Genomic DNA, 19,900 nt, shown 5'->3' on the forward strand with positions numbered 1-19,900 from the left:
TCTAAATTGTGCTATTGAGAGGCGAGAAACGCAATTAAAGTGTCAACACTCCCAAGACCAGCCAAACAACCTTTTGGCAAATGCTAATATAAATGTTTTCATAACCTATGTTTTTTAAGGTCACTATTCAAATTCCATAGTTATACATATCTCTGTTTTCAGAGACTTTATTTCTCAGGTTTTGAAGGGCTGGAGAATGTTACTCAAACATAAGGTCGGTAAAGAAATTTTAGCTTAGAAGTCTCCTATAATGCTACAGAGCTGTAGTCTGTAGCAGTCCTACAGGGCACTGCTCATATGCAGTAAGCAAAGGTGGGGCATGGGGAGGAGGAAGAAAACAGATCCAGAGACTGTCTGCAGAGCATCTGTTCCAGCAACCCAGTTGTGGGCCTTCTCCTGGACCAGTAAAACTCCATCTGGTATGGGAAGCTAACTGTTCCCCAGGTGGTGTGCCCACCTGTCAACTGACAGTCGGGCTTGTGCCACTAAGAACAAGGGCAGACACATTTTGGCACAGACCTTTGGAGCATTTCTTTAACTTAATGGCTGAGCAAGACTTGAGATGAAGAGATGAGGAAACACAGAAAAAAAAAAAATGCAATGGGCCCTGCTGGTCCCAGGCATCAGCTAGGGAATCTAGGTCACGCCTACAACAGGCGTCTGATGGGGTATACCATAGAGGGCGGAGAGTGGCAGGGAATGGTGCCAGCCTCTGCCTTTCTGGGCTTGCCAGCCCTTGGCAGGGATTCTGGAAAATGAGACATCCCAAGTCAAATGCATTTCCGCACATTCCTCTCCCTCTCCTGCCTCTAGCTACTTACATGTGGTTAATAGACTGCTCAAATTGAAAACACACACACACACACACACACACACCACCACCACCACCACCATCACCAGGATATGGAATCTATACACGTTCGTTCCGGAATGTTTAGGTTGAAAATACACGTACAAATATAGTCTCCTGGTGAAGCTCTGTGCTATGTATTTATTCCAAGTGATGTCCACAATCTTTTTGGAATTCTTCTGGCATCTGGCTTTAGAATCCTTGGCATATTCTTGTCAATACCCTCAGGTGATGAAAGATGTTTTATTCTAAAGAGTACATTTTATTTACCAGGCTTATGGAATTAGATGCTCCATCAATCCATATTGAATATAAGAATAAATGGATGGGTGAAACAAGCACATACCTATAGTTCTTAGACAAATTCCTAATGAAATGAATGACCAAGCATGGAATGTACAATTTTTTAATTTTAAAAAAGCAAACAAAAAATAAAAAATAGAGATTTTCTTGTATGGCTCATATGGTAGAACCCAGAAGACCATTTCAGTGGAACAAAGGAGACCACTGAAATAACCAGAGAACCACTCAAGGTGATCCTGGATATAGGGGCTATTAACCTTTTAATCTTTGCATTATTCCTTAAAGCGTTTAGATCCATTTGCTCCTTGTCTTCTCCTATCCTCTAGTCCTGAAATCACCAGGGCACCAAGCCTCGAGAGGCTGCTCTCTCCCTTACTGGGCTGGGTTTCTAAGATATCTCTGACCAGATCTCAGAGATAACTCCAATCCAGAGGATCTTTAGGCGGATCTTTATTCTGCCAAATCCTACACTGATACTAATTTTCAAACTTAGATGTATTTTAAATAGGAAAAGAAGACCCAAATTATATCATTTTAACTTACCTTATTTTTTCCTGTAAAACAATATATCATAAATTTTAAAAGTCTCTGTGCTTAGAAGAAGGTGGCATTCATACATTTCTGGGGTGTCTTTTAAAGAGCCTTATTGGTCCATAGTTACATCCCATACACATATATATTATAGGCACATTTACATGCAGACATATAAAGGAAGTATTCATAAAGGATGAGTGATGAACAAACACAAAGCCATGCTTTGATGTTAAAGATGCAGTGCTTCACTGTTGAGAAGGATGTGTAATTGAATTCTTGGTAATCACTGAGAATGGTGTCTATTGTTGAATGTAGAGTGCTCACAGAAGTCTTGCCTAGGGAGTTTGCTCTGTTCTAAGGTGAATTCTCCATAGCTCAACTCAAACATGAAAGGTGTCCTGGCATTGAGCCAAATGCCTAGGCCAGGGTGTTCTCTGGATCCTGCTGGGGTCACTGAAAGACCAAAGAAAGCACCCCAAACCTGGCCTGACATGAACCGAGAAAACTTGGGCAGCATTTGGCCCCAGGGTAAGGATGTGACAGAGCCTGCTCATTCTCCCTGCACTCACTTTGGCACACATTCAGCAATGCTCTATTTGATTGCTACCTTTCCCTAATAAAGAGCTAGGCTTTTAGTGGATGTTCTGATTCTCATAATGCAAAGACAGAAGGTATGTGTGAAAGTCTCCAGTAACACTATGCTTCCTGCACATAGTCTACCCATTAAATGACTGACTTGGATTTCTTGCAAAGATTGAATGCTGGAGGTAATTTAATAATTTAAGTATAATATAAACATTTAAAGTTAAAAAAAAAAAAAAGAAAAAAGACTGATCTGGGTTATTAAACTTTTTAAATATGAAAGTGATTTCTGAAAAATGTGCAAAAATGACTTTTACTCTTTTCTTACTTAAATACCATTATCATACAATATTCAAGTGATTTTGCTATTGGTGGGAAGTTTAGAATGCATCCTGATGAATATCAAGGATCTGCTATAAAAACAGATTCTCTTAAATATAATTTATGTGCATGCAACACACACAGTGTTTAAAATCCACATTCTTAAGTGCAGATGTGTTTTCAGTGTGGTCTCAGAGTGAAGGTTTCTATACAGGGTTTAGTCTGAGAAACAACTCGGGAAACAGATGAAAGGCATTTCAGATGATTACCCTAGAGACACAGTGGTTCTCAAGACTTGAGGCATATAGGCCATCCTGGGCTAGTAGACAAATTTTTGACATTTACCACCTGCTTAGCAAATGTCATACCAGTTCATTTTGATACTCACCAAATTTGTGACTTCCTAGACCAGACCACGTAGAGTCTCATATGGCTTTTATTTGGATTGCCTTAAAAATTGCCATATTTTCCCAATACCTAATAGTACTTCAATTTCTTAAAATACAGAGGAAAAAAAGAATAATTTTGCTAATTAAATCCTGTCAGAAGTACATGAATTCTGTTTTAAAACAACAATATTAAAGATTTTTGATTAGGAATAAAACATGGAAATTCCCAACTAAGATATAACATAGCACAAAAAAAAAAAACCAGTAATGATATAGAGACTACACAAAGGTAAAATAACAGCAACAAAAAAGGCACTGGGGTATATAATTCATATATGTATTTTAAGTAACTATTACCATTTTCTCTTAAATGCCCTAATAAAATAAAGCATTTTAAGATATGCTATAATACCTTAATAATAATTCATTACCATTATCTACATGATTCATTTTACCTACCTCTAAAAGAGAATTACTATCACTTTGCTATAAAGCAAACAGTTCTGAAAACTACCCACTTGGAATGCTGTACAGTGACCAGGCCTGGGTCTGTATTGCTCACTACTCTACATCCAGGACACAATGCACTGTTTGTCCCATCATAAGCACTGAATAAATTTGTTCATCTGACAAGTATTTATGAGCATCTACTATGTTTAAGGAGCTGTTCTAGGCACCTATATATACATCAATAATCAAAACAAAGATACCTGCCCAATGGATATTGCCGACTTGCTAAAAGTTAGATCAGCAGCCTTCTTTGAATATCAACTACTTCTGACATAGAGATGTGGCACAACTATATGAATGAAAGAAGAAAACAGTGTGAAATCAAGACTCGAAATTCTTTTGAGAACTAAGATATATTTTCTAATGCCTCTGTCCTTCAGTGGGCCTGCAGTGGGCTTGCATAGGACAGGGAAAAGGATTTAGGAATTCACTGCCACTTTGAGGTCATATGAGTTGATCTAAAATCTCAGTTCATCTTTCCTCCATCATATGTTACCTGGGTCACAGAGGGCATGAATTTAATAAGAGGTATTAAAAAAAGGAACTACTATCTAATGACAAGGCCGCCTTTTAAACTCTGTAATAGTTGTTTCCTGTTTATGCATAGGAAGATGTATATTTAGAAAATTTATAGTTCTTTTTAGAATGGCTAACAATTACCAGAATATGACACGTTTTATAGCCCCGTGCCTTTTCTTAAACTCTTCCCTTTGTCCCCAAAGACCCTTTTCTACTGTCCTTTTCCCTTCTCATCTCTTGTTTGTTAAACTGATGAATGAAAAAACACGTGAATGAATGGAGGTTGAGAGCTGCTAAAGGCTGGTTACAACCAGGAAAGCTTAGGGAGGAAGCTGGATGTTTACAGAAATGGCTTTAGGTGTCATTAGTTCTGTAATGTAGTCCTGTGTTGTTTCTGAAAACAAAGATAGACAGGACAGTAAGTTAAGCCCAAATCAGCAGGCTTTCTCCCCCCAAGTACTAGAATACAATAGCCACTCTGTCTCACAAATATATAAAAACACACTTGGCTTAGTTTCTTCAATATATTACTCTCATTTCAATTGAGCTCATTTGTAAAAAGGGCCCATCTGCAAAATGGCAACTGGGGCCTGTCCAAGTAGCAAAAAACATAAAAAAAACATCCAAAGAGAAAAAAACTTGAATCAAGACTTCAAAGTTAAAAAAAAAAAATTAGATTACATTTTAAAAATCAAATAATAAAATGTTTTTGTTATTTTTAAAAAAATTTAATGACAGGAGATTGTTGTGGTAGAATGAAAGAGCATATCACACAAAGTCCAAAGAGTCAGGTTTAGGTCAGTATTAGAAGTTGGATCTTGCATAATTTATTACTTCATTTTTGTGGACCTTAAGTCTTTCATTTATAAAATGGATAAGGAGATAATACCACATTTCCCAGAACAATCAGGAGAAGTGCCTGATACAATGTATGTGAAACATACTTACCACTGTTCATGTTAGTTCATATTAATTTCAGTTCCTCCTCTGCACTCCTTAGTACTCTTTACATATTTCCAGTGGCTTTTACCATAATATATTGTGATTATCTGTTATATGTAGGTTATTAATCTTTGTACCTGTCATTCTGTTATTCATTTTTGTACCTCCTTACACAATGGTGGCACACAATAAGTGTGCAAAAAATATTGTTTGAAGAGAATGAACACAAGTTGTTTTGTTAAATGAGCAATGACATTTCATTTCATTTCATTTTTTATTTTTTAGAAACCAAGTCTTGTCCCGTCACCCAGGCTGGAGTGCAGTGGTGCCATCTTGGCTCACTGCAACCAACTCCTGGGTTCAAGTGATTTTCCTGCCTCAGCCTCCTGAGTAGCTGGAATTACAGGCACCCGCCACCACACCCAGCTAATTTTTGTATTTTTAGTAGAGATGGGGTTTCACCATGTTGGCCAGGTTGGTCTCAAACTCCTGACCTCAAGTGATTCATCCACCTTGGCCTCCCATGTGCTGGGATTACAGGTGTGAGCCACCGTGCCCGGCCTAATAATGACATTTTAAAAACACAGAAGTATGCTTAAAATTCTAAACCAAGGTATTTCTCATCTTTGAAAAAGTTGCTTTTGCCAATTTGTAGATAGGCAGGCCTATCTACAAACAGGACAGTTTTCTACAGCTAAGTCTTCACATACTGGTTACTATGTAAGGCTTAAATTTGGTCTATTTAATGTTGAACAAAATTCTTTATCCTGTTGAACAAAATTATTCTTAACACAGCCAGAGTACCTGAATCAAGACTATGGGAGTAGCCAGTCCATCTCCTGGGCACCCTTACTGCACAAAGAAAACAAGTTACATATATTTTATAGCTCTAAGGCAACAACTACCCATGGAGTAACTTATGTCTAACACAGGCCGGGCACAGTGGCTCATGAGGTCAAGAGATCAAGACCATCCTGGCCAACATGGTGAAACCTCGTCTGTACTAAAAATAGAAAACAATTAACTGGGTTTGATGGCACACACCTGTAGTCCCAGCTACTCGGGAGGCTGAGGCAGGAGAATCGCTTGAAGCTGGGAGGCGGAGGCTGCAGTGAGCTGAGATCACATCACTGCACTACAGCCTGGTGACAGAGTGAGACTCCATCTCAAAAAACAAACAAACAAACAAAAAACTTATGTCTGCCACAACCAGCCAATAACACTGCCATTTGTTTAGGCTTCCATTTTTACTTCAAACACAAAGTTTTAGATTCTCTCTCTATCTTAACTAAAATCAAGAAGCTGGCACTACCAAATGTTATTTAATTCTATAGTGAGATGGCTTTTAATTGGCTAGTCTTACAAAAATGGTAGTCAAATACAAGCATAATTGTGATCAATAACTGTAAAATAGTTTGTAGTATATAAATTCCAAAATTCTTTTGAATATGAAGAAAATTTTACATTCAAGTAGATCACTTTTAGGTTCCTATAATAACATTTAAGCTTGGTAACATGCTACCAGAACTTGGTTATTTTTTGGTAAGCCATCTTTTTCATCTAAAAGGAGTAAAAGAAGAATAAGATGTAAAATATACTCATTTAAGCTTAAGGTGGAGGAAGGAAGAACTTTAAAACCTAATTTGGTTTGACCAATTAACGTTCTGATTGTACTCTACAGGGAGAGCACACAAAGTGTATACATGCACACACAGACATCAGTGCTGATGTGCAGGGACAAATTTAAGAGCTACCTCCCATTATGAGGACATAAATTCACAAACACACTCCTACAGCATTTCCAAATGGAAAGCATGGGCATCTCATTAGGGGTCGAACATAGGGCATAAAAAAGTACAACGACCTTGCTGGGTTTGGCTTCTCTTTCACATCTAAGTTCCTTGTAAAACAGGCCAACCATGAGAGGATGTTTAAAACCTGTAGCATTAAAAAAGAATCTAGGGTCATATAATTATTTCATAAATATCTGTAAGACTGAGGAAAGTTGGATGCTCCTCTGTTTCCTGCAATTCAAAGGTAAGTGAAAACCAACTTTGGAATTAATAGCTTTCAGAGATCTGAAAGCGTTCTAATACCAGGATTTTCAATGCTGCAATTTAACGACAACCCTGCTGTTGGCCTTTTCTGACCTGTTGTGAAGTAAATCAGGCAAACTAATGTGGGCTAACAAGTCTTTTTCACACCGTTCGATCCCCCTGCTTCTCTTTTCTCCGCAGACATCGCCTTTCTCCCACTTTCTGTCTAGCCATCCTCCGTCAAAGCACACAAAATGGCCACTGTAACCCTGCATCACTGCTCATTAGATCACAGGTTAGTCAAGTGGAACTGCCCGGGGTTCCCAAAGGAGAGCTATACTTCAAAAATCTGTCCATGTCAAATGAAGAAAAAAACCCTGAGCGTGGGGTCACCCAGATCAATGATCAAAAGAAACTGAGAATGAAGGGGGAAAAAAGCACACCCTCGTTTTTGTTAAAAACACACAGGTCTGATTTATTATAAGGAATACAGAGATACGATGGGGTTTCCTCCTCTTCTGCCCTGTTTTCATTTTTTAACTAAGTAATTTGTTTTAATCAGGTCCTGTTGGTTGTTAAACTTCAGACTTTGGAAAGTCTACAACTAATCCTTAAAATTTCCCCCAAAGAAAACCCATTCTAGGAAATCCAGTTTTAAGGAGGACTCCTAAATGTTTCCAAAAACACTTGAAAAGCAATAAAAGTAATACAAAGTAATCCATCTTTAATGCTTGAGAAGATTCTATTTAAATCTGAGAGTAAGAGTTGGTGCGACATACACTTTAATATGCTTTAAAATAATCCGAGTAACCTCTTGAGCCTTCAAAGAGGGGAAACAACAATCTGTCAATCACGTTAGGAGCACACACAAGTGACATACTATAAAAAGGCAGATTTCTGGATTTTGGTGAGGCTGCAAAGATATGCAGGTAGGCCTATACCTTGTTTAATCATCTCCCTCATTTCTTCTATGCTATTCAAAGTACAACATTCTATATTTGCATTTGTACTTTTTGAAAAAATAACACTACTAATATAACAGTACCGCAAACTTGACATATTAAAAATGAGGGCAGAATGATATATCTGGAACATCTTAAAGAACAAGACTTGGTATCAAATTTCACAAGTGAAAATCACCAAAAGATTTGGTTTTCCTGGTTTCCTCATAACTAGAGAGAAAAGTACATTTTATCGGCTAATGATTAAAAAAAAATTTCTGCCCGCAATACCACATATATGAATGAAAGTAAAATAAGTTAACTGCTTATAATTTAACCTAGCAAAAGTTGTAAGGGTTGTGTAAGGGCTTTATAGCTTTGCAGTATTTTCTTTTTTACATTTGGAATTTATTCTTTAAGTACCCTCAAAGGAATATAAATATATTCCTTTGTGACTAAATTAAATATTTTTTGTTTGACTTTTGTGTATTTAAAAAGCACTCCCATGACACTTACTCTATACCAGACACTGATATAATTGCCTTATGGAACATTAACTCATTCAACCCTCAAAACAACCCTGTCAGGAGGAGGGGGAAGAAAGCAGGGAGCAACTGTTAATAATGAGTAAGACTCTCTATGTGCTATGCCCTCCTTTAATCCTCACCATTCACTACAAGGTAGGTTCTAGAATTAGCCCCATTTTACAGATGAGAAAACAGACTTTTAAGTTTTTGCCCAATATAATTTAGATGGTCAACAGTGAGAAGGATTTAAATCCAAAAGTTCTGACTTCCCAGTCTTACTGTTTGTCATCTCCAAACCAAAGTGCCAAGTTAAATATTCATCAAGTTAAACCTGGGTATATCCTGTGACCCCCCCGTAACTGCAATTTTACATGTATTCACTTGAGAAATGCTTGCATATACAAGGAGACATGTACAAAGATATTTATCAACAGCTCTGTTTATAATCACAAAAAATCTAGAAAGAACTTAAATATAAAGAAAACACCAGAACATTTTTTAAAAAGCTGTAAGGCATCACATATAAATTTTTATCACACAAACCATTATCATATATTATTTAGAGACACATGTATATGTAGTCAAAGCATAGAAATGTACACTGGGAAAGATACACACCAACTTTAAGATATTTCTTGCTTCTGAAGGAGAAAGGATGGGAAAATGATGAGGAAGGGAAAGGAAGGGGCTTTAAATGCAGCTTTCATGATTTGTTTCATTAAAGAAAAGATCTGAAACAAACATGATAAAATGTTAACATTTTATCACGGGTAATGGGTTGGATGGGTTTGTCTGATATTTTCTATACTTACCTATATGTTTGAAATTTTTCATAATAAACACGGTATGACTGCTTAGATGTTTACCTCATGCAATCACAAATAAATTGTGAAATTACTGCACATGGTTCCTCTAAGTCCTCTCCCTCATTTGACTCAGTAAACTGCTAAAAATTCATACCTTGGTAACAAGTTAGAGATTAAACTATTAAAATTAATTTTCTTAAAAGTGTTTTAGAAGTACCATCTTTAAGAAAATCACTAAATTTGAAGGAATTTAATGAATTCAAATACGGACTATATTAATATATAGTCTATGTTTCATTTTGTTGCTAAAGAAAATTCATTAAGTTGGCATTTCTAACCTTTTGACATTCAAAGTTTAGTAATAAAGCAGCCTGGTTTCAGACTGAGAATTGTAAATTAGAGCTGAACAGGGCACTTGACTAGAAAAGTGAACTACTTTTCACTGTATACCTTTTTGTAAAATTGTACCACATGGCTTTATTAATCATTCAGGCTGATTATTAAAATAAGATTGAAGATTTAAAAATTATGTAATATCACATGGGGATCCAAATGAAAATGATAGAAATACATTTTCTATAGAACCTTAGTTAGTCATACAATCTTAATTGACAGAGGATGGATCAAGCAATCTCAACTACAATTCTTTACAAATGTATGCATATTTGTAAACAAAATGAGTGAGAGAAGAGTTGTTATTCTAAAAATAATTGTGGTGAAAGTAAACCCACAAATTACAGCCACAACTCTTCCTTTAACATCTTAAAAATATGATACAACTTTAAATAACATATATTTTTCAGTTCGGCTTTACCAGGCTAAAGAAACATATGACAAAATTTTGACTAACTAGAGTATAAATAAAAACAAATAATGAAAGAATTATAATTTTTGTATTCCATTTTTAACAGATGAAATTACAAAATTACAGATTCATATTGAGTGTTTTATAAAAAAGCAATGTCTAGGACCTAAAAGTCAGTCATTGCTTCAACAAAATTATTTTCTGCATCTACACTGCTAGAACTAATGTTCTAAATAATTGAAGGGCTACTACAACATTCAGAATAATTAAAGAAGCCTGTATTTCCCTAGAGCAGAAAACTGTGCTGTATTAGCTTAAAACTGTATTAGTTTAAAAGATTTAACAATATGAAAAGAAAACAAGGAGCTTCTCTGGTAAAGAAAAAAAGATAGCTATAGTGCTCAAAAACATTTCCATTAACAGTAACAGGCCATTCATTACTCAAGTACCTGATGACCTCATGCTTTGCCTTAAAATCTATTCTCATTTTTTCACTTAAAAAATGGACTTAATTTGCTTATTAACATAAGTCATTAAAAAGCCAGTGTTAAGAAAACAGAAAAATGTCCCAACTTATACTTAAAGAAAAACATCAAAGTTAATATGCAAAATTGGTATCCAAAATATGCAGAAACATGTATTTCCATATTCATGGCTGTCTATTTAAATAATTTACATATTAAACATTTAAATAATTCAAATATTTACACTTAACTCTCCAATAAATTTGACCAATACTATTTTATTTTTTGTTTTGTTTTTTTTTTTGAGACAGAGTCTCACTCTGTCACTTAGACTGGAGTGCAGTGATGAGATCTTGGCTCACTGCAACCTCTGCCTCCTGGGTTCAAGTAATTCTCATGCCTCAGCCTTCCAAGTAGCTGGAATTACAGGCGTGCACCACCACGCCCGGCTAATTTTTGTATTTTAGTAGAGAATGGGTTTCACCATGTCGGCCAGGCTTGTCTCAAACTCCTGGCTTCATGTGATCCACCCGCCTTGGCCTCCTAAACTGCTGGCATTACAGGTGTGAGTCACCATGTCTGGCCTAATAAATACCACTTTAAATGAAACTATATGAAAACTGAGTAAAATGTAAATCTTTATGTATAACAAGAAAGAAAGTGTTCTTTCTAAACAATTTGTGCCATGTTTTGGAAAATCGGGACATTTATCTGGACACAGTGATTTGCTTTCCCATAATAATAATAATAACAGTAGTAACAATAGTGTTTTGTGCATATACATTGTACCTCCATCTCAAGATCTTTTTTGGCCTATTTTTCAGGATCCCTCTAATGATTATTCAGTCTTCTCTTCAATGAAATATGCTAACGCCTGATGAGAGAGCATCTTTCTTTCATAGCACAGTTAACAACTGTAATTCTTCAACCAGCTGTTCTCTAAGGATTCCCCTGACAAGCTCTTATTTTCATTGCATTATTTCTTTGTTCTCCTTGTCTAAACTGTACACAAGTTACCCAGATTTTCCACTCTGGCCCCTTTCAATAAAGAACTGCTTTGGCTTGACAAATAATTAGTCATAACCAGTATTAAAAAATAAATATTACAAATTCTACATGCTAAAATTATATTGTTCTATGTGACTTCTAAATTACTTAACAGTTCATATGTAGAACCTTCTTCCCATAAGGCTCCATTGGTTTAACTTCTCATTTATGAAAACAATCCCAGTTATTTTATGGAGCTAGTTACCATGTAAACATTATAGCCCATAATCTTATGTCAGGTGTAGCATGAACTAAAACTCAATCTATGTATACTGTGTTTAGGGCAACTGAATCCAGATACTTGAACATATTAAGATATAAGCCTAAATAAAACAAAATTAAACCCTACTTGACTCTTCTCCTTTGTAACCTAGTAAAAAACTTGTAAATTTTTTTTTTGTTGTCAAATATTTATATGTGTACCAATTTAGATCTTGGAATTTCTACTAAAGAAAGTAATTACCACTTCACTATTAGATACTGTGATAACAAACACAGCAAAGACCATAACAGGCCCAGTCAGTTGAAAGCTATGTGCTACCTTCAAAATGAGATATTTTTCTTCATTAGACCTTTGTAGTATACCTTCTTATTGGTATTGAAGGTGTGCCTCATATCTTCACTCAAAACTACTAGATAACCTTTTTTCATGGTATCAATCCTCGAAGTGGTAATGTGACTATTGAAATAATAGAGTCATGGCTGAATATAAAATTCTATATAAAGAGATATTATTAAAGAAAAAGAATGAGAGACTGTAGATACCAATAAACAAAAGTGAAAGGAGGTACTATAAACAAATTACTCAGGTTTGGATTAGTTCATTTCCAAGCCTATGTACACTGGAAGAGTGGCCACTTCTAAGTTGCATTCAGTCTATTACATGTACCGTTGTACATGTCCAGTTCATTGTTTTCATCAAAGGCACATGCAATTCATAGGTAAGGAAAAAATAAAGTGGCAAGGAGAAAAAGCCTGTTTCTAAGTAGGAGAGTATTCTATTCATTGCAAAAGATGAAAGCAGGTATCTCTTATTACATGTTTTTGTTCTCAGAGGAACAAGGCCAAAAATATGTGATTTTCGTATTTGTGCTAACGCAGCAGAACTTTTCAAAGTCACTGCCAGAAATGGACCAGCTTTCTTACCTGTTTTTTCCATGCTTTAAGTTAAGGATGTCTGCCTCATTATGAACATTGCTGGTTCCCCCAGACTTCTGTAGTCTGGCTTTGCTGTGATTACTGGTCAAAACCTTTAATTACAGTATATAGTTTGTGCAGCTGCCTGGAAATTGGTCTCAGGGTCAGTGGCTCTTCCCGTTCCCCTCTTTCCATTCTTTTGAAGCAATATTGCTGAACTGAAGGCATTGTTCCAGCTTTCTGGTGTGCTCTGTCTGCTGCACATTATGAATAGCTTTGCAATCACTCTAGCAATTGGTTCTTCAACTGCCTTTAGGTTGTCAATTGTAATTCATTGGCTTCAGGCACCTTTTCTCTTTTCATTCTCTTGAGGTCTTTTATTACTTAATTTGCAATAATATTAGGGAATGTCTTCTTCAGACATGTCACTAATGCCTTACTGATTATGAGGCTGGGGGTACATTTGACTTTCATACATGCGCCTGTTAAAATGTTTCAATATTTCCTTCATCTCTGTGACTTGTGATGCCAATATTTGCAGTACCTTGCAAAGAAGTTTGCTTAATGCTGAAGTCTTCTCTCTAAAGAATAATCTAAAGACTCCTCCTTAAGATATTCTTATTGGGGTTAATTTATATAATTAGTTATAGTTATTTTTATAACTTCCCAAAGATATGATTTCTCATTTTTATAATAGGAACTAAGATTTCATATTTTCTTCCCATATTATGCCCTATTCTTTTTTAACATATAAAAATTATAATTTCAAGCTCCACACAACTCAGAGATACTGAAGTAGAAATCAATGGCTATGTTTTCAGAACCTTTTAAGAAGACCTGTATTTGCTCCTCAGACATATTTGTAGAGATTATATAAGAAAATATTAAGACTATTCAAAATGAGTGACAATGCTTCTGCATTACAGAATCAAGAGGAAGTTTTGTTTCTGTTTTTTCAGGGGAAGGAATAAACAAATATATCTCTTGCTCCATTAAGAAAAAAAGTAAACCATTTGTGCATTATGTCTCAAATCCTTAGTTCTGGATAAAATCCAACAGATTAACCCTTCTCATTAGTCTCAGCCATCTCAGAGCAACCAAGGGTATTTTAAAGCAGACACTATGTAATAATAATAATGATAATAATTATCATAATTATAATAACTAACGCTTATTGTGCTTTTTATCTTCAAAGTACCTTACTGACATTAACTATGTCTCTATTTTCAAATTAATTTACCTCGACAAATGTTTTATTAACTTTGTAAGCTATGGAATGTGTAGTGACTGAGTTCTCTTTTGCAAATAAAAAAATAAATGAAAGGAACTAAGGGACAAGGAAAGGGTACCTTAAACTTTTGCCTCAAATCAGCCATTGCCTTTGTTGAATGAGGATTAATGAAATGCTAATTTTTATAAAATATAATATTAACATACAGATCTAAAGTGTGAAGATCACCACTACAACAACACAAATACATACTACCTCAAAAAGATTAGAAAGTAGCCAAATAATATTGTTTGGATAAAATCAGTCTCTAACTTTACTAGTTATGATTCATTATAAAATATTTAAATATGCATACAAAGTATTAAATATAAGAATTTTTTAAAATCCTTCTAAGTTTCACTTACGTAATAAATGATTTTATTAATTAAAAGGCTACATTTTTTTATTTGTTTGTTTTTTGAGACAGAGCCGCACTCTGTCACCCAGGCTACAATGCAGTTGTGTGATCTTGGCTCACTGCAGTCTCCACCTCCCGAGTTCAAGCAATTCTCCTGCCTCAGCCTCCCAAGTAGCTGGGACTACAGGGGCGCGCCACCATGCCCAGCTAATTTTTCTGCTTTTAGTAGAGACGGAGTTTCACTATGTTGGTCACGCTGGTCTCGAACTCCTGACCTCAAGTGATTTGCCTGCCTCGGCCTCATTTGTTTTTAATAAATTGAATTCATCACTTTAAAACCATGTCATTATGTTCCCTTAGAGCTTCATTATGTACCAGTCTCTATGTGATAAATCTAAACAGGAAAAAAATAGATTTTGATGCTAGCAAACAACATAAGTTCTATAAGATAAATATAAGCAATTATTTTAAAATGTATTAAAAGAATATCATTTGGCCAAGATGTCCAGCCAATTTCTATGAGGGATTTTGGAAAGAGAATAGTACCCTGATATGGTGTTAAAAAAAGTCCACAAATAGACAAACACAAATGTAGAAACATAAAATCAAACATTTGTAAATACGATAATTAACAAGTTGAATCTTTTTAAAACTATGTATTAACATGGTTAGAGTGGTGAGGATTCGAGGAAGATGTGGTTTGTAAGCAATATTAACAGGTCAGGTTTGGTGTTTCAGGAAAATAAAAATTTTTATATTCAAGGATAAAAATAGATGCATTGGCTTGAGTAAAGAGAGAGTAAGGAAATCTGGATAAAGTTGATGGTATGAAGGCAGTAAGAAAGGATGTATGGTAAGATTCGGAGGTAGTCACTCTTTCAAACAAAATACAGTTATCCCTTGGTATCTTTTGAGGATGGGTTCCAGAATCTCCCATGGATACCAAAATCTGAGACGCATAAATCCCTGATATCAAATGGAGGAGTATTATCATATAACCTATGCACATCCTCCCATATACTTTAAATCATCTCTAGATTACTTATAATACCTAATAATGTAAATGCTACGTATATAGTTGTTATACTGTATTATTTAGGGAATATTGACAAATAGACTATACGTGTTGAATTCAGAGAATGGTGTTTTTCCCTGAATATTTTCAATTGGTTGTTGGTTGAATACATGAATGCAGAACTCACAGATATGGAGGGTTGACTGTTTATTGACCACAGAGACATAAACAAGCCGTAATTCCTGTCCTTCAACAAACTTACAACCTTAAGGAGTAGACAGAGAAGTTATAGGCGAAATTCTAATATTATGATTTGGATAAGCGCAGGTTGCCAAGGGAAATCAGATGAGAGAGCCCAACTTTGGCATGGGCATTCAAGACTACTTCCTGATGTAATACATCATCTTGAGGGGGTTGTATTAGTCCATTTTTACACTGATGATAAAGACATACTCAAGACTGGGAAGAAAGAGAGGTTTAACTGAACTTACAGTTCCACATGGCTGGGGAGGCCTCAGAATCACGGTGGGAGGTGAAAGGTACTTCTTCCATGGTGGTGGCAAGAGAAAAATGAAGAAGGGGCTAAAGCGGAACCCCGTGATAAATCCATCAGATCTTGTGAGACTTACTACCACGAGAATAGCACAGGAAAGACTGGCCCCCACGATTCAATTGCCTCCTCCTGGCTCCCTCCCACAACACGTGAGAATTCTGGGAGATACAATTCAAGTTGAGATTTAGGTAGGGGCACAGCCAAACTACATCAGGGGTTTTCCTAGTGAATTAGGAATAGTGAGTGGTACATAAGCATAAGTGAGTGAAGAAAAAGGAATCCGATGCACATTAACATAGAAGATCTGTGGAATTACATTCGATTCCAGAAGGGATTAAAAGATTATTAATATTAGAAGGTTTTAAAATATGGGTATCATGAAACTTCGATAGGAAGTTTGCTTGTTCTGCTCTGTGTTGAAAAATAGTGAGAAAAGAGGAGATCTAGGGGTGTAAACTATTAGGAAACTCTGAGAAGCACTTCAGAGGCAGAAGTGGGAGAATGAGACTGTGAAAAGTCTAGATGTGGAGAATAAAAAAGAGTACGAATTGAAAAAGGCTTCAAAATGTTCACTTTACATAAAATGAAGATATGTATGTGACTGAAGGAAGATAGTGGAAAGGAATGGGGGTTTTAAAAGAGAACATAATAAATTACTTTTTGTATATACATTGACATATATTGAGATGTATAACTTTATTACCCTCACCTAAATAATTTGCTTGATAAAATGGACATTTCTTATATAACGTATTTGCTCATGGAAATTTTGCTTTTGGTGGACAAGGCACACTTTAATCATATTGCTTGGTAGATGCAAGAAACACAGGTATACAGAGGAAAAAACAGTGAGATCAAGGTGGATAGACATAGAATCAAGAAAATCAGGTATACAAAATTAATTTTATCAAAGAATGCATATAGAAATAAATGAATTAATGTATAATAAATAAAATATTCTGGCTGTTTTAGTACTTACAGCTTAAAAGTTGCTCTTCAAAATACACTTAAAATAATGACATTCTTATACCTAATGAAATGATTGCTAATTCAGAAATATTTATTTCTCTTGATAAATATTTTCAAGAGATAGCTGAGTCATTCAGTGGAAAATTGACTTCCAAACCCTCTCATTGTTTCCTCAATATTTAATTGTAACAGCGTGCAGTGCATCTGTAAGGAATGAACGAAAAACAGTTTGTATCTCTCATACCATTTTAGAATAAGTATACGTCCCATAGGGGAATTTTCAAGCTGCTCACACCATAGGTATGTACACTGCTCCATGTGAAATCAAATCAGTATTCTAAAATGCTGCCAAGAGGCAGGTCAAGATACTTGGAAAACTCTTAAGATTTAGAGTATATGACACTTTCCAATGATTATTTTACAAACACATTTCTCTACACATACAGAAAGCAGTATTAAATTAAGCTAAGCATTTTACACGATTTAAACACTGCTTTGCATTTTTTAATAAAAGATTTGTCACATGAAGTCAGAGAAGATACTCAGTACTTCATAAAGCTACCAAAAAAGAAATGATCTGTTATCAAGCAATATAAATATAAAATAATTTAAACTATAGTTTATTATCTAGAGACACAGATTGCCCAAGAATTTCAGTCTTTCAAAACTCTGTCTGATCCTTTGTAGAAAGGAAAAAAAGTACACAAGGTAGAAATAATCACCTATAAATAAGTAGTTATAATTAAATGTGATAGTTAAATACCATAGAAACACACTAGCACCCTCTTCCAGAAGATGTCTAATACTAAAAAGCGAAAATTAAATAAACTCTTCATGCACAGAGTAATGAATGCATTGTTCAAAAAAATCTGAATATTTATAACCAAAATAAAACATGGTCTAAAAAACCAGTAATGTTTATATCATTACAAAAATACTTGCAAATACTTTTCTCGCATTTATATCTTGTTTTTCAAACATAACACAAAGTTCTATGCATGTCATAATAACAAACTGAATTAAAATTGCATAAAAATTGAGAAATGGCCTGATCACAAATTTTAACTTTAATGTTGACACCCTAATTTAGAAGCTGTATTTTCCTGTGTTAATGAGCCGTGGAACAAATAGAGCCATTCAACCTTATAATTCTGCCTCAAAACTCTGTTTCACAGTCTTCATATTTCTCAATTAGTATTTGCTTTAATAGAAAATATTCAACAAATACTTAACACTGTACTTTTGATATACTATTTCTGAAAAAGTTAAATACTTTTGGATTAAGGATATAGACAAACATCAAATCAGATGACATTGCTAGAAAATATAGACTGTTTCATGTTAACAAAACGTGTTCTTTTATAAGACACAATGTCCAGTAAAATGAAAATAAGATTTTAAAAACCAGGAGGTAAAAGAATCACAATCAGCAACTGTGTAGAAGGAAAATAGGATTACATTTATTGGCTACTATATCAACTTAACTTCTCATAAAACCCTCCTGATCTATTAAATAACTTCAGAACTGAAGTATGCTCTCCTATGGGAGTTGTAAAACAAATTAGTTACAATTACAATTCAATACAAATGAGAAACCAACCTATTTACCCTTAAGATTTCTCTCATTTTATAGCTTTATCATTTAAATTAGATCAGAATTTTCCCTAATGTACCAAGTGGGCCACTTGACATAATAATAAATTTTTCTCGAATGCTTTCTATAGAGAAAAATAGTTGATATGAGTAAATTCTGGAATTCACCTCCCCAAAGTGAATACAACAAACATCTGTTGCAAGAATTGCTTGGCTTTCAGACAGTATGTAAAGGGTGTTCTTTTTCCTAGAGTTTTGCTGTTGTTGTTGTTTTTTTAAGCTTGTTTAAAAATACATGTTTTCACTATCAGCTCTCAAGACATAAAATCTTAAAATTCTGGTAAGTTAAACCCAGGTCATTACCAGGTATATTACAGAAAGAAAAAATATGTAATGTACAAGACTACACTTGCTTTTGAAAGGGCAAGAAAATAATTGGGCATGTTGCCCTCTCTCTGTGGGTTACATAGTAATTTTAACCATTGTCTTCATTTCTTAATTCAGTGCTCCACACAAACATAGCAACACTCATAGTAGGGGAGGGGACTACATATACAACTTCCTTATGATTTTTATTCTCTTTGGAGTCCCACTGATAATTTGACTTTCTCTTTTGAATTTCACTGGCTTCTCCCCACTTCTAAAGTCAACAGTATCCAGACACACTCATCAACCAATAGTGTGTTTGTACAGTTTCACTCCAGTGACAGGATAAATTATTGCACATTTTCTGCATTAAACATAAAATGTAATAATTTCAATGGAGTGAGAAGAAGAATCAATAGCCTTTATGACTGATTATCTTTTCTAACTGAATCAAAGTTTAGTGCTTTTTGGTAAGTTGAATGCACCTTCCTTGATTCTGACAGATCAGAATTTTGCCTAAAATTCACAAGTATTTTGCAGATTAAAATACCATCTTTTTAGCATTGGTAAATTCCATAAAACATACACAAATTAGCAGGTGCAAATGAGTAAGAATGCTTATCAGCAATAGGGCACAGGATGTGCAACACCTTTAGGAAAGAGAGAATAAAAAGACGACCGTTATCTAAATACATTTCTAGTAACACATGACTTTGCTCACTTTTCAATCTTCTACTGCCTCTTCTATAATACCAATGCCTGCTCCCAACGATTTTAAAGTTATTGTTTACAAAATGTTTAAGATTCAATTCCACAACTCCATTTTTATGCCAACAATAAGGTACTGATTTAATTCTTAAAACATTCCTGAGAGCATTTCAACAAGGCATTTTAATACAGTACACAGAGAAACTTCTCTGTCATCAAGAAATGGGAAAAATCTAGGATATATCCTTTTCTTTTTAGGCCAGACCCAAAGTAAGTATAACCATGTCACTGTGCTTCCATAAACTTCAAGACTTATAATGGAATTAGCCCATGTATCCCATTAAAGCAGTCTAAA

The 19,900-nt window shown here is 34.9% G+C and overlaps 1 protein-coding gene across 9 annotated transcripts in view; it reads right to left on the reverse strand.

Annotated features, from left to right (window-relative positions):
- ARL15 (ARF like GTPase 15) overlaps positions 1-19,900 on the reverse strand; it is a 426,632-nt gene that overhangs the window by 207,256 nt on the left and 199,476 nt on the right. The window lies entirely within an intron of this gene.

The sequence above is a fragment of the Homo sapiens genome, chromosome 5, assembly GCF_000001405.40.
Source record: "Homo sapiens chromosome 5, GRCh38.p14 Primary Assembly".
NCBI lineage: Eukaryota > Metazoa > Chordata > Mammalia > Primates > Hominidae > Homo > Homo sapiens.